Source organism: Homo sapiens, chromosome 5 (genome assembly GCF_000001405.40).
Source record: "Homo sapiens chromosome 5, GRCh38.p14 Primary Assembly".
NCBI classification, from domain to species: domain Eukaryota; kingdom Metazoa; phylum Chordata; class Mammalia; order Primates; family Hominidae; genus Homo; species Homo sapiens.
In genome coordinates this window covers 181205882-181223107 of record NC_000005.10, presented here as the reverse complement: position 1 = coordinate 181223107, position 17226 = coordinate 181205882, and the positions used below count along the sequence as shown (strand labels likewise).

General features: G+C 46.8%; 6 non-coding genes across 6 annotated transcripts, besides 8 other annotated features; 4 read left to right on the top strand and 2 right to left on the bottom strand.

Moving 5' to 3' along the window:
- MIR4638 (microRNA 4638) lies at nt 475-542 on the top strand. Its single transcript, NR_039781.1, has one exon. It is a non-coding gene; the product is annotated as a microRNA 4638 (primary transcript).
- Nucleotides 559-788: a silencer, noted in NCBI's record as "silent region_16793". NCBI's record gives its function as "represses an Ori minimal core promoter by ATAC-STARR-seq in GM12878 lymphoblastoid cells {active_cell/tissue: GM12878}" and the evidence as "EXISTENCE:reporter gene assay evidence [ECO:0000049][PMID:35858748]".
- On the top strand, nt 641-713 carry TRV-CAC1-5 (tRNA-Val (anticodon CAC) 1-5). The gene has a single exon. It is a non-coding gene; the product is annotated as a tRNA-Val (tRNA).
- Nucleotides 1039-1248: a silencer, noted in NCBI's record as "silent region_16792". NCBI's record gives its function as "represses an Ori minimal core promoter by ATAC-STARR-seq in GM12878 lymphoblastoid cells {active_cell/tissue: GM12878}" and the evidence as "EXISTENCE:reporter gene assay evidence [ECO:0000049][PMID:35858748]".
- On the top strand, nt 1057-1129 carry TRK-CTT2-3 (tRNA-Lys (anticodon CTT) 2-3). The gene has a single exon. It is a non-coding gene; the product is annotated as a tRNA-Lys (tRNA).
- TRV-AAC1-4 (tRNA-Val (anticodon AAC) 1-4) lies at nt 4766-4838 on the top strand. Its single transcript has one exon. It is a non-coding gene; the product is annotated as a tRNA-Val (tRNA).
- Nucleotides 4815-4904: a silencer, noted in NCBI's record as "silent region_16791". NCBI's record gives its function as "represses an Ori minimal core promoter by ATAC-STARR-seq in GM12878 lymphoblastoid cells {active_cell/tissue: GM12878}" and the evidence as "EXISTENCE:reporter gene assay evidence [ECO:0000049][PMID:35858748]".
- Nucleotides 5365-5494: an enhancer, noted in NCBI's record as "active region_23786". NCBI's record gives its function as "activates an Ori minimal core promoter by ATAC-STARR-seq in GM12878 lymphoblastoid cells {active_cell/tissue: GM12878}" and the evidence as "EXISTENCE:reporter gene assay evidence [ECO:0000049][PMID:35858748]".
- Nucleotides 6571-6640: an enhancer, noted in NCBI's record as "active region_23785". NCBI's record gives its function as "activates an Ori minimal core promoter by ATAC-STARR-seq in GM12878 lymphoblastoid cells {active_cell/tissue: GM12878}" and the evidence as "EXISTENCE:reporter gene assay evidence [ECO:0000049][PMID:35858748]".
- Nucleotides 15000-15089: an enhancer, noted in NCBI's record as "active region_23784". NCBI's record gives its function as "activates an Ori minimal core promoter by ATAC-STARR-seq in GM12878 lymphoblastoid cells {active_cell/tissue: GM12878}" and the evidence as "EXISTENCE:reporter gene assay evidence [ECO:0000049][PMID:35858748]".
- Nucleotides 15281-15353, bottom strand: TRK-CTT2-2 (tRNA-Lys (anticodon CTT) 2-2). The gene has a single exon. It is a non-coding gene; the product is annotated as a tRNA-Lys (tRNA).
- Nucleotides 15470-15529: an enhancer, noted in NCBI's record as "active region_23783". NCBI's record gives its function as "activates an Ori minimal core promoter by ATAC-STARR-seq in GM12878 lymphoblastoid cells {active_cell/tissue: GM12878}" and the evidence as "EXISTENCE:reporter gene assay evidence [ECO:0000049][PMID:35858748]".
- On the bottom strand, nt 16169-16240 carry TRA-TGC3-1 (tRNA-Ala (anticodon TGC) 3-1). Its single transcript has one exon. It is a non-coding gene; the product is annotated as a tRNA-Ala (tRNA).
- Nucleotides 16230-16329: a silencer, noted in NCBI's record as "silent region_16790". NCBI's record gives its function as "represses an Ori minimal core promoter by ATAC-STARR-seq in GM12878 lymphoblastoid cells {active_cell/tissue: GM12878}" and the evidence as "EXISTENCE:reporter gene assay evidence [ECO:0000049][PMID:35858748]".

The following is a 17226-nucleotide window of genomic DNA, read 5'->3' as shown; positions in this document are numbered from 1 at the left end:
CGCATCCGAGGTAGAAACTGCCAACCGGACACTGTCTCATGGTTTAGATGAACTTCCCTAACTGCCCAGCAGTGAAGAAGTGGTGACGAATCATTACATCTACATTCTCACAGCATCTCTGCAAAAATAGATGCTTTGTGCGGTAGAAATAATACTTGATGCTTAAATAGCTCTTTAAATTTTATTTTTATAGAGATTTGATGTCGATACATAAATAAATAAATGTTGTTTGATGCGAGAAAAATGACGGGGCCATGATTTATGTACAGAATCTCCAGTGAGTGCCAGACACAGCGTGACGCCAGGGCTGGGCCTGCAGAACTTACCCTGCTCTCAAGGCGGCTCGCGGGAAAACTCCAGATGGACGTCGCGCTTCCTAGGGGGGTGGTCAGGCCTCTGAGTATGTCAGATCAAACGCGCCAAAAACCACGAACCCTCGTGGGTGAACTATGCTAGGCCATTACAGGACCTGCGGACTCGGCTGCGGTGGACAAGTCCGGCTCCAGAACCTGGACACCGCTCAGCCGGCCGCGGCAGGGGTCCCCGGGCCTGTCCTACAAGGGCGCTTGCCTAGAGCTATCCCGGCCGTCTCAGCCGTGTGTGTCTTCAGGACGATGCCGGCAGGAAAGTAGCCAAGGTGGTTTCCGTAGTGTAGTGGTTATCACGTTCGCCTCACACGCGAAAGGTCCCCGGTTCGAAACCGGGCGGAAACACGTTTTGGTCTGTTCGGGAGATTCTCTCCCGAGGCCGGCCTTACGTGGCAGGAAGGACATGTGTGTCCCTGCGCTTCGGAGGAACACGGACTGGGGCAAAACTGAAGGAGAGCACTACTCAAGTAAATTCAGGTCTCGCCCCTCACCTAATCTCTTGCTCTTCCCTTCTGAAGCCTATGCAGCCATCACATGTACAGGAATCCGTAGATTTCAGATCCTCGGCTCTAGTGCCTAGAACAGAGCCAGGCGCAGGCGCTTCTTAGTATTTGCACAGTGGAAACGTGCTTACACCTCTGAGGGTAACCTCCATCTTCAGAGACAAAGTTAGAATACAGACATGGCCGCCCGGCTAGCTCAGTCGGTAGAGCATGAGACTCTTAATCTCAGGGTCGTGGGTTCGAGCCCCACGTTGGGCGTAATTTCGCTTTTTGGAAAGGTTAAGGCAAGTTGTGTTACCTAAGTGCACAAATGGTATTCTCTGTACCAAGACCTAGTGGGTAGCAGATTCACCAACAGTGGGTGTTAGAACTTGGACTAACCTGGTGTTCTCCGATCCGTGTGTGGAAGGCCCCGAGCAGAATTCTCACAACGTTTGCACCCTCGCTAACTCTCAAAGAAAGAATGAGAGGCGGGTACCTGTGGACCAATTCCTGCAGGCCAGCACCGCGGGCTATCGTGCATGCATGACCCTTTGCTGTAGGCCACTCGCCCACGGGCAGCACATATTAGGCATTTTATGTTTACCAGACGGCCTGCCCCCGTCTTGCTGTGAGACTTGCTGTGCTGGAGGGAACAATGTGGTTTATCGAAACTGGGGTGAGACCGCAGGACGACCCCAGGCGTTCGTGAGCGTCAAAACCTATCTGATTCACTCCCACTTTACTGGGAGATTTAGTGGTTAGGCTTCCGCCTTTGTCTCGCTACGACCTGCTTTCGACTCCCTGTCAAGAAAGATGCTTTGTGTCATATGAGACACTTGTCTTCCGTATATTCTTTTTTATGCTCTTGACTTTAAGAGTCTATTTTTGTGAGATGTTGCCCCACAAATACCAGCCTCCACGTTTCCCCCATACATAAATAGAGATAAAAACGGGCCATGCGCCGCGGTGGCTTATGCCTGTAATCCCAATACTTTGGGTAAGCCAAGGCGGGAGGATCGCTTGAGCCCAGGATGGCCTCGAAATTAGTCCTGCAAATATAGGCCTTTTTTCTTTTTTTCTTCTCTTTCTTTCTTTCTTTTTTTTTTTTTTTTTTTAAGATGGAGTCTTGCTCTGTTTCCAGGCTGAAGTGCAGTGGCACCACCTCGGCTCACTACGACCTCCGCCTCCCGGGTTCAAGTGATTCCCCTGCCTCAGCCTCCCGAATAGCTGAGACTACAGGCGCGCCACCACGCCCGGCTAATTTTTTGTATTTAGTAGAAACGGGGTTTCACCATGTTGGCAGGACGGTCTCGATCTCCTGACCTCGTGATCCTCCTGCCTCAGCCTCCCAAAGTGCTGGGATGACAGGCGTGAGCCACCGCGCCTGGCCCCGTTTTGTATTTTTAAGCTGTCGAAGTCTCCTCCGCATACGCACCACACCACGAGAGAAGTCTGTTGATCATAGAAAGCTGGCTTAATCTCGCTGAGCAAAAGATAGCATCGTCTTCTGTCTCAGACGTAAATCAAAGCGGGGACTTATGAGGGCTATATAGTCTGTGAGGGCGGTCTGGGCAGAAGTTGGTCAACGTTTGTAAATAGGCAGAGTCGCTAGTACAATCCTAGCACATGAGTTACTGGTGTTCAAAGCTGGTGTTCAAAGAGTTTTAAGTTTGACATTTCGTCTTGCACAAATTATTTCGGATTCTTTTGCAGACTGTGATTTCAGGGTTATTTTTTACCACCTTCACTGGGACTGGAAAACATTCTTAAAGGATTCTGGCTTTTTCATTAAAGTGGAGATGAAGTGGACAGGCTTCTCTTCTTTGTCCTCTAGCAAGCCAAGGGAACGCCCGCTGGAGCTTTTTGCTACAATTCCTGCTTTCTCTCCTCTCCACCCCTTCCACCCGTCGCCGCTCTGGCCAGGTCAGGTTTGGGATGCCCCTCCAGGCAAGTGACCCAAGCTGCTCCGGGCACAAAGGCGGCAAGCGTTCAACAGTCGGAGAAGCACGACACACACATGAACCTGGTGGGATCTTTGGCCTCCTCCCAAACCCTGTGGTGATGGGGCCTGGGGAGACTGAGGGACTCACTCTGATTTATATTTCAGGGGGTTCCTTCAGGAGTGATGCAAACAGGGAGTATGAGGGGGAGTAAGACTGTCGGAGACAGGGGCTGGAAGGACACAGGCCTGGTCCATACAGGAGGCGGCCGGCGCCGGGTGAGGCGGCAGCCAGAGGGAGACGCAGGTGAAGGAGCGGGATGCAAGGCTTGCAGCGGCGATAGATTTGGGTAGTTCCACAACCTAGATCACAGGCTGAGGATGCGGGAGGGGAGGGAAGAAAAAAACAATGACTTAGGTCTCGAACGGTTGGGCGTTAGATGCTGTGAGATACCTGGAAAAACTGCCCAAGACACGCGTGGATCTGAAGCTTGGGAGAACAGTTCTTGCTGGAACCAGAGACGGAGCTAAGGTGTGGGTCCTGCTGCCAGCCGACGTGACGCTCCAGGGTCAGCCTTGGGCGCTCGGAGGCGGAGACGGGATGGGAGAAAAGCCTGCAGCGAAGCGCCCACCCAGGCCTAGGGTGCCGCACAGTGCAAAGGAGATTGGCAGCGTCCAGTTCAGCACATGGTCTCGTAAGAGAAGGCGTCCATGGATTGGGCCACCTGGAGGCCCGTGGTGACCTTGACCAGAGAATCAGACGCACACAAGAAGGGCTCCCGCCCTGCGCCGAAAGGAGCGGGCCTTCGGGGTCACAGAGGCAGCAAGGATCCCTGATCAGCAGGACTGCGCCTCGCTTCCAAGCAATCCAGGTATTCGGAAATTAGGCGTCGGCGGCGGAAAAACATTTCACAATATTAAGCAATCGCTACTACTTTTAAATTTACATATATGCAGATCTCCATATGACAGGCGTTAAGCGTATTCCAACTCTACATACGTACATACCTTGGATGCTAGGATTGGCGAGTTTTATTTTTATAAAAATACTTAAAATTTTTCATTGAACTTTTAAAATGTAAAAAAAATTTCAGATTTATCTTTAAAAACCGACTTAAAATTTTGATATTCATTAATTTATATTTTGCCGTTTAGTTTAATACTTATGCATAATTCATAGAAATAAATTTTTGAAAGGACATAAGAATAATTTCACTTTTTGATTTTTATGTTTACTTTAATTTACATTTTAACAAAATATATTTAAATATCGTGTGCTTTAAATGCATTTTGCATTTTTTGAATCCTCTCTGTCATTACTGTCCGTAGAGCACAAATCATGTGAAAATTGAAACCTCTGGCTGTCTTCCCTGGAAGAAAAGGAACCACTAGGGAAGCGTATCCAGTCTTAAGCCTTGGAAGGTACATTTGCCTTTCCTCCCGCGATGCTCGCTAGTTTTTTGTTTTGTTTTTATTTATTATTATTATTCGAGACGGAGTCTCGCTGTGTCGCCCAGGCTGGAGTGCAGTGGCGCGATCTCGGCTCACTGCAAGCTCCGCATGCCGGGTTCACGCCATTCTCCTGCCTCAGCCTCCCGAGTGGACTACAGGCGGCCGCCACCACGCCCGGATAATTTTTTTGTATTTTTAGTAGAGACGGGGGTTTCACCATTTTAGCCAGGATGGTCTCGATCTCCTGACCTCGTGATCCGCCAGCCTCGGCCTCCCAAAGTGCTGGGATTACAGGCGTGAACCACCGCGCCCGGCCTTGTTTTGCTTTTAATTGCTGGAAGTGACTGGGGTACCCTTAGAGGTCACGCTTTACAGTTTGACAAACGGCATTACGCAGGGCCACAAGGAGACTGGTGTTCTGGGGAAGAATGGATCTAAGGGCCATGACTCCATGGGTGAAGCCGACACCTGGATGTTGACTATAACACTTATAAAAGTCATAGAGTAACCTCTCCGCATCTGTTTCCGTAGTGTAGTGGTTATCACGTTCGCCTAACACGCGAAAGGTCCCCGGTTCGAAACCGGGCGGAAACAAGACTGTGTTTTCCTTCCAGTTCAAAAAGGTTTCTTAGTGTGGAGTCTATGTGTATAAACGTTCACAAGTTTTGCTACACTTAGACACCGGCCGGATTTTCCAATCCATTGCCAATTAACTTCAACCTGCGTATTCCATGTCTACGTCTGTAATATGAGGGTGAGAAGTAAGTGGTCTTACTGGTCATTATTAGGGTCTTCCTGCAAAGTCCCGGCGGATCAAATACAGTCAGCCGCCGGGGAATGCCACGGAATGACAGATGAACGATTAAAAAGTGCAAGAAGGCTCGGGTTGGAAATCCTTGGTGGAAGTTCACGCCGTGGAAGGTGTGCACCGGCGGGCCAATAGTGATGCCGGTAACTACAACGTGTACCACACATCAAGTAGTCTGCAGGTGTGGCCCTGGGCTTCCTGCAGAGGAACCTAACCATTCTGGGAGGTTGTTTACAGATGAGGCCACTGAGGCATGGACAGGTCACACAAGGCTGCGGAACACGTAGGACGGAGCAAAAGGACAGGGAACGGAAAAGAAACAGGGCACAGAGAAATTCAAGTGAAATACAGGCTGGTTCAGGAGGAGGACTGCGCCACTTCGGGCGGGCCTGCAGCACTGACACGGCTTTTGGGTTCGCAGTGGCGGTGGAGGGCGGTCAAGAGGACCATCAGCCTCTCCAAGGCGTGACCGTCGGCCTCCCTCTGCACCCATCCTCACTTGCAGCTCGTCGGCTTCGGGCCGTGGGACGCGGCGGGTGAGTTGGGAGCCCGATCCCCAGGGGCCTCTTCAGCAATCTCAGGGAAAATGCTGCAAAGGCTTCAGAGAAGAAGCCGGAGGGGTGGGCGGGATCCCTAGGACAGCGCTACTGGCAGGAGAGTAAGCCCGGGGAAACCCACGTGCCATGATGCGGCCCCGGCAGCGCAGGCTGCTTCCCCGCCTAGAAAACAGGCTTCCAGCTTTCTCACACCGCACCCGCACACTTACGCAGGGGCCAGCCGCCTCTTTCCCAGCACCTCTGCCCGACGTGAAAGTCGAATAAATGCAACATCTAAGTGGCAAAGCAAGGGTCGGGCGTGTCAGCGCGCTACTGTAGCCCCAGCGACTCGGAAACCGGGCTTAAGAGTTCGAGACCAGCCTAGGCAACATAGTGAGACTGTCCCCTCCGCCCCCGCCCCCGCCCCCCGCCCCATCTCTAGGAAAAAATATATATATTTTTTTAATTAGCCGAGCGTGGTGGTGCATACCTGCAGTTCCAGTTACTACCCTAGGTCGAGGCTGCAGCGAGCCATGATCGCGCCACTGCACTCCAGCCTGGGCACCGAGCCCGTTAAAAAAAAAAAAAGGAAAAGTGGCAAAAACCAAAATTCTCTTTAACGTTTCATACATTTTAAATGCAGACAAAGCGTAATCAAAGCAGAGTCCCGTGGTGGGAAACTTGTTGGGACAGCGTTAGCATAACGTTCACAGAAAATATCAATGTCATGCCTATTTCTTCAACACCGCTCTTTCACACTTAATTGTAATTTTATACCGTCCCAGAATTTACGCATCAGGAAGTCCGGTAGTCAGCCTGGAACTCACAGACCCCATGCAGGAGAGTTCTCCCAGAAAATTCTCCCCGGCCCAACTTCTCCTCACCCCTTCCCCGCCGACCCCCCCTCGCACTCCTCCTGTCGTGTTTAACTGACTGGTTTGAAGTGAGTCTGTACTTTGCTGACGGAGTGCCTTCTGCATCCCTCTAAGCTGACCTCCTTGGCCACTGGGACTCTGGGAGGCCAGGACCATCACTCAGTCCTTTGTCACTCTTCTCTAAGTATATTTTGCTCTGTGCCTCAGCTAACGTAAGACAGTTCGCATTGGTCTTCCTTGTGGAGACAGTGAAGCAAATTCAAAGCAACACAGTCAACGTCAGCCAGCTAGCTGGGCAGGGCAACAAGATGTACAGGAAACAGTCTCTTTGGAGTCCTATTTCGAATTACATTTTAGGAACGGGCCGGGCGCGGTGGCTCACGCCTGTAATTCCAGCACTTTGGGAGGCCGAGGTGGGTGGATCACCTGAGGTCAGGCGTTCGAGACCAGCCTGACCAACGTGGTGAACCCCATCTTACCAAAAATACAAAATTAGCTGGGCGCGGTGGCACACGCCTGTAATCCCAGCTACTTGGGAGGCTGGGGCACGAGAATAGCTTGAACCTCGGAGGCAGAGGTTGTAGCGAGCCGAGATGGCGCCATTGCACTCCAGCCTGGGCGACAAGAGCGAAACTCCGCTCCGTCTCAAATGTATATATATTTGTTTGTTTGTTGGAGACGGAGTTTCGGGAGGATCCTCCGGGAGGACCCTTTGAGACCACCGCCCCCTCCACATCTCTAAATATATATTATATATATTTATAAAATATATTATATATTTATATATTATATATATTTATAAAATATATTATATATTTATATATTATATATTTATTGCACAAATAATAAATCTATTACATAAATAACACATACATTATATATTTATTATATAAATAATGAATTTATTATATAAATAATGAATATATTCTATATTTATTATATAAATAATGAATATATTCTATATTTATTATATAAATAATGAATATATTCTATATTTATTATATAAATAATGAATATATTCTATATTTATTATATAAATAATGAATATATTCTATTTTATATAATATATTAAATTATATAGATAACAAATATATTTTATATTTATATTATATTATATATAATATTATAATATTTATATTATATTATATTATATAAATATTATAATATTTATATTATGTTATATTATATATACAATTTATATTATATTATATATAATATTATACTATTTATATTATATTATATATAGTATTATAATATTTATATTATATTATATATAATATTATAATATTTATATTATATTATATATAATATTATAATATTTATATTATATTATATATAATATTATAATATTTATATTATATTTATATATTATATAAATTATAATATATTATATATTTTTATTATATATTATATATGCTATATATTTTATATAAAAATACATATATATATTTTAGAAACATGGAGTGGATGGTGGCCTCAAAGGATCCTCCTAGAGGCTTCCCAAAGTTGATTGGGCTACAGGTCTCAGCCACCGTGGCTGGCTTTAGGTTACACAATGCCACTTTGTCATTATGGATTTACAGCTTTCCTTAACTCATCTTGTTTCAGTTAACTGGAACTCAGTGCTATTACTCTCTTTTTGATGCTTGAATTGCAGCTGCTTGTTGGTGGGCGCCCCTTTGCCATGGCTCTTTGTCTTTTCAGCATTGTCCTGAGTATTTGAAAGCACCCCTGTTTCCAAATTCTGCTTTGGCCTGTCTAAAATTCCTCTACCCTATGATGCAGGAGAATATTCAGGAAGTTTGAGGGGGTTTTTTTCAGTGAAGAATAAAAGAGCCCACTCCGGGTGCCAGGACAGTGCATGGAGTCAAAACTCCTGGCTCCCTCACTTGCAGGTGCCCTAGAGAAATAGTTTGAAGGAGGCGAACTCACATCCGGGGTTCTACTGACTTGCAGCTTTGCTAGATCTTTGCTTTTTTGTTTTGTTTTGTTTTGAGACAGAGTTTTGCTCTGTTGCCCAGGCTGGAGTGCAGTGGCACAGTCTTGGCTCACTGCAAGCTCCGCCTCCTGGGTTCAAGAGATTCTCCTGCCTCAGCCTCCCGCGCATCTAGGACTACAGGCACGCGCCACCACACCCAGCTAATTTTTGTTTAGCAGGGATGGGGTTTCACCATATTGGCCAGGCTGGTCTCCAACTCCTGACCTGGTGATCCACCCACCTGGCCGCCCAAAGTGCTGGGATTACAGTCGTGAGTCACCGCGCCCGGCCTTTTTTTTTTTTTTTTTTTTTTTTTTTCAAATAAACTCCAACATCATTTCCCTACCAAATTATCTACTTAGATTTTTAACCTCTCACTCAAAAGCAATTGTAGGCCAGATATGGTGGCTCTCACCTATAATCCCAGCATTTTGGGAGGCCAAGGTGAGTGGGTTGCTTGAGCCTAGGAGTTTGAGACCAGCCTGGGCAACATGAGAAAACAAAAAGTACAAAATTATTTTCTCTCTTTTTTTCTATTTTAAAGTAGAAAATACAGAATATTTTCTAGAAAAATTAGCCCGGCGCCTGTAGTTCCAGCTATTCAGGAGGCTGAGGTAGGAGGATGGCTTCAGTTTGGGAGGAGGAGGTTGCAGTGAGCCAAGATAGCACCACTGCACTCCAGCCTGGGCAGCAGAGCATGACCTTGTCTCAAAATTTAGACAGAAAGGTGTAATGAAAGTCCAAATACACATCTCCCAGCTTCAACAACTCTCACTCTCCCACTATTCCTGTTTTATCCGTCTCCGTCCATCTCCAACCCACTGGCTCTTTTCTTTCTAATCCTCATAAATTTCATGGACTTCTCTTCTGTAGTCTCATCACTGACCGTCTCCCTTTCACTGTGGCTGTTCTGATACTCTATAACCTTTTGAAGTTTAGGGAATCATACTAACAGCTACAAATCTCATTAATTGAACCCTTATTAGGGATTAGGCACTGTCCTTTTATTTATTTTTTTTACATTTTCTTTGATGAGTCTAGAGGCTCCCTATGTTGCTAGGGCTGACCTTGAATTCTTGGGCTTAAGAAATCCAATCCTCCTGCCTCAGCCCTCCTGGGATTAAAGGCACACACCACCGTTCTAGGCATTGTCCTATGTGCTAGACTCGCATTGATTCATTGCATCCTCGAAACCAACCTGTGGTGTGCACTGTTAAAATGACATCTCATTTATTTATTCATTTATATTGCCGTAAAAAGGGATAGATCAGGTCCCTGCCCGCCTGGAGTTCACTTTCTGACAGGTGATTTAAATAACAAACAACAGGCAGATACAGAAACCACCTCAGAGAGTAAGGACTGTGACAAAATTAAAGAGGGCAACGTGGCAGAGTGGCAGGTAAACAGAAGACGGCATTATAGAGAGGGGCCAGGAATGAGGTGGCAGAACAGGTGACACTGAGCTGAGCCAGGAAAAGAGAGAGGCAGCCTTCCAAAGATCTGGAGAACAGGTTCTTGGGAGAGAGGAAGCAGAGGAAGGTCACATACTATGAAGTAGGAATGAGACTGGTGTGCTCAAGAAGGAAGACCTTGGGTGTGGGGAGGTAAGGAGCCACAGGTCTACTTCCTTGGATATGCATTCTCATGACTCCATCCACACCAGTTGCTGTTTTTGTTTTGCAAACAGATTGAAAAATGAGTGGAAGACATTGGATCTGCTATCTTACTGGACTTCCAGGCTAATGAGGCACACAGTAAGGCCTCAGTGCAGGACTGTGAAAGACAGACAAATTAGTACATAGCTTTATTCAGAAGATTTCAAATGAACAATACTCCCAGGATTTCTGAAAGTGCTATGGGTTAGGGGTTAAAGCAGGGAGTCTGTAAGAGCAGATGAAATTCGGATACCAGCTCTCCACTGCCAGCTGTGACCTAATGTCTCAGTCTCCTGTCTCCTTGTCCAGCCAATGAGGGTTCATAAGCATAAAATTCATAATTGTAATTTGAAATATATAAGAAAAGATTACCAATTGCTTAGCCGTTCGGAATGCCTCCGTTTGATAGCCTTAGTTAATGACGGAACCATTAACTAAGGAAAGTTAATGAGGGAACTAACGAAAGGGATTGTTCTGGCTGTTTCAAAAAATGATAGCTTCATAGAAAAACAGCAATATCTGTAAGCTGAATTTAAAGCCTTCAGAAAAACTAGGCCTTAACATTTGCAACTCTAATAAATTGAATATTAATCACAAAGCAAGCATGTATTCTTTTCTATATTCAGAAGCGCCCCCCGCCCCGCACCCTTAGATATTATACATCTCAAATGACAGTGATAAGCAGGGACGTTTCCCAGAATATCCTATGGCTCTACTCCAGTTGGTCCCAACACAGAATGGAAGAGCGGGCCATTCTGGGTCATCTTTTTGGCCACTCTTCCTATTGCAAGCAGTCCTCCAGAGTTAGGTTGCCCTAGTTGACACTTCAGCTTCCTTCTTGCTCAAAACTCACATTCTCCAGAACACCAGCATGTGACTGAGGCCTGCCTTTTACCTGAGGGACTCGCACCTTTAATCCAATGTGATATGATATAAACAGCAACGAAACAGTGAAGTGAGCATTTGATGGCAGCTGAGCCATCTTCCCTGATGCTACCACAGAGATCCTAGAAGAAAGACTTCCTCAAGTTCAGTAAAGAGAAACCAGTGATTGGTAAAGAAAGAGATACTGGAATATTTTTAGACTAGTTAGATTAGATAACAGCCATGAATATACTAAACCTGAAGATAATTTTCTGCTTCAAATGAGGCTTTTAAATGAAAACATTCAGAAATGGTTGATTAATAATTTACATATAAATTATATGTAATCATTCTTGTAGACCACTTCACCAAACGCATCTGTGCTCTAATAATTTATACATGCCCCAAAGGACACCAAGATCAAATGGAAAATGACATATAAATTTTATTTCTTATGTCTGGTTGGATTCTTCCTGTCCAAGGAAGAAGATGTGCAGAGTAAGAAATAACAGAGCAGGCCTTTCTAATGGTGTCCTGGCTTTGCAAGTGAAGAGAACATGATAGCTTCTTCAGAAACAGGCTTGAAAAGAGAAAAAACGACGCTGCCATATAGAATTGGATTAAGAACCGCAAATGAAAGTGACACTGTACTCTTCAAAATCTTTTATCTGAGTACATTCCTGTGTGATGTAAAGGGGCGGGGAGGGTCCTTCTCCCCTCCAGGTGGCACCCTGCACGCCCTCCAGTGGGTATTATCCTGCAGGCAGGCAGTGAGGGACTCCAGCAATTTTAAGTGGGGGAGTCACACGCTTAAATTTGTTGTCCAGGCAGCCCGTTTCCCCCAAGACCTTGGAGAAATAGGCAATCTCATTCATGGCTAGTGGGAGGTAATATCAGACTGTAGGTTCTACAGTAGGGCAATTTATCTATTTTTACAAAATTACTTGCATATAAACCTGGATGCAACAAATCTCATTTCTGGCAATTACCTCCACAGATAAAAAAGTGCAAAAGTGCAAAATGACAATTGCTACATGCTTAACTGTAGCATTGATCGTAACAACAAAAAAATTGGAAACAATGTAAATGCCCATCCATTAAGTGATCTGTTAAATAAAAGATGATTCATCGACAGCGGAATATTGAGCAGCTGTAAAAAAAGATCGAGGATATGTTCTATGTCTTGAAATAGAAAGGTCTTCAAAATAGGCCGGGCGCAGTGGCTCATGCCTGTAATCCCAGCTCTTTGGGACGCGGAGGCTGGCGGATGACCTGAGGTCGGGAGTTCGAGACCAGCCTAACCAACACGGAGAAACCCCGTCTCTACTAAAAATACAAAATTAGCTGGGCGTGGTGGCAAATGCCTGTAATCCCAGCTACCCAGCTACGAGGGAGGCTGAGGCAGGAGAATCACTTGAACCTGGGAGGCGGAGGTTGCGATGAGCCAAGATTGTGCCATTGCACTCCAGCCTGGGCAACAAGAGCGAAACTCCTACTTAAAAAAAAAAAAATCTTCAAAATATAGCACAATCATAAAATACAAAATTTTGTATAAAATACAGGAAAATAAAACTCCGCTTGTATCAGCCAGGCACAGTGACTCACACCTGTAATCCCAGCACTTTGGGAGGCTGAGGCAGGCAATCATTTGAGACCAAGAGTTCAAGACCAGCCTGATCAAAAGGGCAAAACCTGGTTTCTACTAAAAATAGAAAAAATTAACTGGGTGTGGTGGCGCACGCCAGTAGTTCCAGCTACTCAGGAGGCTGAGGCAGGAGAATCGCTTTAACCCGGGAGGCAGAGGTCACAGCAAGCTGAGATTGCACCACTGCACTCCAACCTGGGCAACAGGCTCTGTCAAAAAACAAAATAAACAAAAAGGCCGAGCGCTGTGGCTCACGCCTGTAATCCCAGCACTTTAAGGGGACGAGGCGGGCGGATCACCTGAGTTCAGGAGTTCGAGACCAGCCTGGACAAAATGGTGAAACCCTGTCTCTACTAAAAATACAATTAGCCAGGCGTGGTGGCAGGCACCTATAGTCCCAGCTACTCGGGAGGCTGAGGCAGAGAATCGCTTCAACCCGGGAGGTGGAGGTTGCAGTGAGTCAAGATCTCGCCACTGCACTCCAGTCTGGGCGACAGATCAAGAGACTCTGTTCCCCCTCCTTACCCAGCCCCCCCCCCAAAAAAAACTACTTGCATCAAAATTTCTGGAAGAATATGTACAAAAATATAAAATTGAAATTTTAAGGGGGAGTTAAACACTTTTCACTGAATTCTGTTTTATATTTTAATGTTCTTTAATTTTTATTTTAAAGATGAGGGTCTGGCTAGGTTGCTCCCGAACCCTTGGCCTCAAGCAATCCTCCTAAAAGTGCTGGGATTTACAGGCATGAGCCACCGCGCTCAGCCGAAAGATTTTTGTTTTTGGGTTTTTTTGTTGTTGTTGAGACGGAGTCTCGCTCTGTCTCCCAGGCTGGAGTGCAGTGGCGCCATCTCTGCTCACTGCAAGCTCCGCCTCCCGGGTTCACGCCATTCTCCTGCCTCAGCCTCCCGAGTAGCTGGGACTACAGGCGCCCGCCACCACGCCCGGCTATATTTTTGTGTGTTTTTAGTAGAGACGGGGTTTCACTGTGTTAGCCAGGATGGTCTCGATTTCCTGACCTCGTGATCCACCCGCCTCAGCCTCCCAAAGTGCTGGGATTACAGGCGTGAGCCACCGCGCCCGGCTTTTTTTTTTTTTTGAGACGGAATCTCGCTCTGTCCGCCAGGCTGGAGTGCAGTGGCGCCATCTCAGCTCACTACAACCTCTGCCTCCTGGGTTCAAGTGATTCTCCTGCCTCAGACTCCCGAGTAGCTGCGATTATAGGCGTCCACCACAAGGCCCGTTTGTATTTTTTAATTTTTTTTTTTTAGACGGAATCTTGCTCTGTCGCCCAGGCTGGAGTGCAGTGACGCAATCGCGTCTCACTGCAACCTCCGCCTCCCGAGTAGCCGGGATTACAGGCGCGTGCCACCACGCCCGGCTAATGTTTGTATTTTTAGTAGAGACAGGGTTTCACCATATTGGTCAGGCTAATCTCGAACTCCTGACCTCAGGCGATCCACCCGCCTCGGCCTCCCAAAGTGCTGAGATTACAGGCGTGAGCCACTGGGCCCGGCCGAAAGATGTTTTTTTTAAATTTAATTTAATTTTTGAGACGGAGTCTCTCTCTGTCGCCCAGGCTGGAGTGCAGTGGTGCGATCTTGGCTCACTGCAAGTTCCGCCTCCCGGGTTCACGCCATTCTCCTGCCTCAGCCTCCTGAGTAGCTGGGACTATAGGCGCCCGCCACCCCCGGCTAATTTTTTGTATTTTTTTTTCAGTAGAAACGGGGTTTCACCGTGTTAGCCAGGATGGTCTCGATCTCATGACCTCGTGATCCGCCCGCCTCGGCCTCCCAAAGTGCTGGGATTACAGGCGTGAGCCACCGCGCCAGGTCGAAAGATGTTTTTTAAAGCTCATTTGTGATGTAGCCTCTGTGGAAAATGGTATGACACTTCCGCAAAAACAGAAATGCCGTATGACCTAGTAATTTCACTTTGTGATGTATACTCTAAAAAAATAGAAAGCCTAAACTCAAACAGATATCTGTACACTCATGTTCATAGCTGCATTATCCACGGTAGCCAAAAGGAGGAAGGAACCAAGTGTCCATTGGCAGATGAATGGATAATGTGGTATATATGTGCAATGGAATGCTAATCAGCTTTAAAAGGAAGGAAATTTTGACACATGCTACAATAAGGATGAATCTTGAAGACATTAAGTGAAATAAGACAATTTAAAAAGGAAATATAAGGATGAATCTTGAAGACATTAAGTGAAATAAGACAATTTAAAAAGGAAATATTGCACGATTCATCTTATATGAGGTATCTAGAGGAGTCAAATTCAAAGACACAGAAAGTAGAATGGTGGTTGCCAGCGTCTGTGGGCAGAGGGGAATGGAGAGTTAATGCTGAATGGGTTCAGAGTTTCATCTGGGAAACAGGAAAAAGGACTGGAGACTGATGCACAACCATTTAAATGTATTTAATGCTACAGAACTGTACAGTTAAAAAGTGTTAAATTTTGTTGGGCATATTTTACCACAGCTTTAAATCCTAATTGTATCGCAAGATAATGGGTAGATAATGAACAGTGGAGCGCCCGCAAGAGTATTACACACACAGAAATGCAAGACTTCAGAGCAGATTATTTTCCTAAGAGCTGGTCTACTTATAATATATTTTTAGGTATGGCTAGTAGTCGTAGATTTAGGACTAAAACGACCAGTTGCCGCCCAACGTGGGGCTCGAACCCACGACCCTGAGATTAAGAGTCTCATGCTCTACCGACTGAGCTAGCCGGGCGCCCGATGACCGTATCTCAACAATTTTTCATTCTAGATCAGAGTCGGAGTGTATTCAACTGCGGGTTTGAACTTGGATTTATTTGGAGTGTGATAAAACTACTAAAGTGCCTCGGCTCCTGGGAAATTCAAACTCTGCCGTCAGTGCCTGACCGTCCCTCCCACTTACGTCCGTTTCCTGCCCCTTCTACCCTACCAGCGACCAAGCCATTTTCTACCCGCGATGAAGCTCACGGCACGGAGATGGAGAAACGTGCACCCTGACGCCACTGGAGCTCTCACCGTGTGGATTTTTTTTTTTTTTTTTTTTTTGACAGAGAAGACTCTCAAAAAATGGGCCTACCTTTCACCACGAACTGCGGCTCTGTCGCCCAGGCTGGAGTGTCGTGGCGCAATCTCGGTTCACTGCAACCTCTGCCTCCTGGATTCAAGCACTTCTCCTGCCTCAGCCTCCTGAGTAGCTGGGATTACAGGCGTGTGCCACCACTCCCGGCTAATTTTTGTATTTTTAGTAGAGACGGGGCTTCTCCATGTTAGTCAGGCTGGCCTCAAACTCCTGACCTCGTGATCCACCCGCCTCGGCCTCCCAAAGTGCTGGGATTACAGACGTGAGCTACCTCACCCGGTCAAGTACCGTGTGGATTTTAAAACAGGAGGGAAAGACAATGGGGCCCAGAGGAGGGCAGGGGCCGCCGCGGTCTTTTTCTACTCCGCAGACTCCACCCTCTGGGTTTTTTCTTGGAGCTCTTCAAACATGCTGGATTTCAAAATTTGAAAGGAAAATCGAAAACAATAATTGAATGTGCAAAACTACACTGGAGATGCCGGGGATCGAACCCGGGGCCTCATACATGCAAAGCATGCGCTCTACCACTGAGCTACATCCCCACCTACTCTCAGCAGCTCTCCCAGATGGTCCCTATTGGTCGCTTAACTCAGGACACCGGGAGTGGAAGGCAACCGGTACGCGCTGGGTCTCAGCCGCTGCAAAAACCCGGCATCGCAGGGCAAGAGTTGTTCCAGCGTCCTCCGCTGACTCCAAACCAGCGGGTCTTGACCAAGGGATTCCAAGAGAGAGGATTAGGCCCGGCTAAGCACCTGGGAGCAGCTGTGGAAAAAGGAGAGACAATCATCAGGCACGATGCCAAAAATGAACTGTGACCTGAAAAAGAGAAGAAAGGAAAATTGTGCAGGATGCTACGTTTTGTTTTTTAAAAGTGGGGGTTGAGGCAATAAAATACGGAATATTTGATTAACGTAATCCAGAATTGTAAAGTTGATTGCTCGGGAGGAAGAAAGGACTGGGACACAGGCGATGGGCCTACTTTCCACCGTGAACTGCGGCTCCTCTTTTGAATTTCGAACCAAGTTTAATCCAAGAAAACCTTACTGAGCTTGCCAAGAACTGCTCTAAAAACAGGATTCAGCCGTGAACAAACCTAGTACAGTCCATCTGAAAGCTGACATTCCAGAGGAGATAGAGTGCGGGCACAGAGCCGGCCCTGAGAAGGGAGCGCGCTAAGAGACGACTTTACACAGTGTGCGCGTTCGGGGCGGGCTTCGTGGGCAGAGACGTTTGAAACAAGACCTGAATGAGGTGGGAGGGAGCATGCAGGTGGTGGGAGAAAAGAGGTCCACGCAAGGGGAACAGCCAGCGCAGAGGCCACGGGGTTCAGGAACAGCAAGAAGATCGGGGACACTGGGTCCTGGAAGGCCCTGAGAAGGGAAGTCGGGAAGGAGGGAGCATCCGGGGGCAGATGAGGTGAGGCGAGGTCTTCGCCTTTGGGTGAGAATTGCTGAAGTTCCCGGTGACATTGGCAAGGGCGGTTTCTGAGGAGGGTGCGGGCGAAAGCTTGATCCAAGTGGCCTCCAGA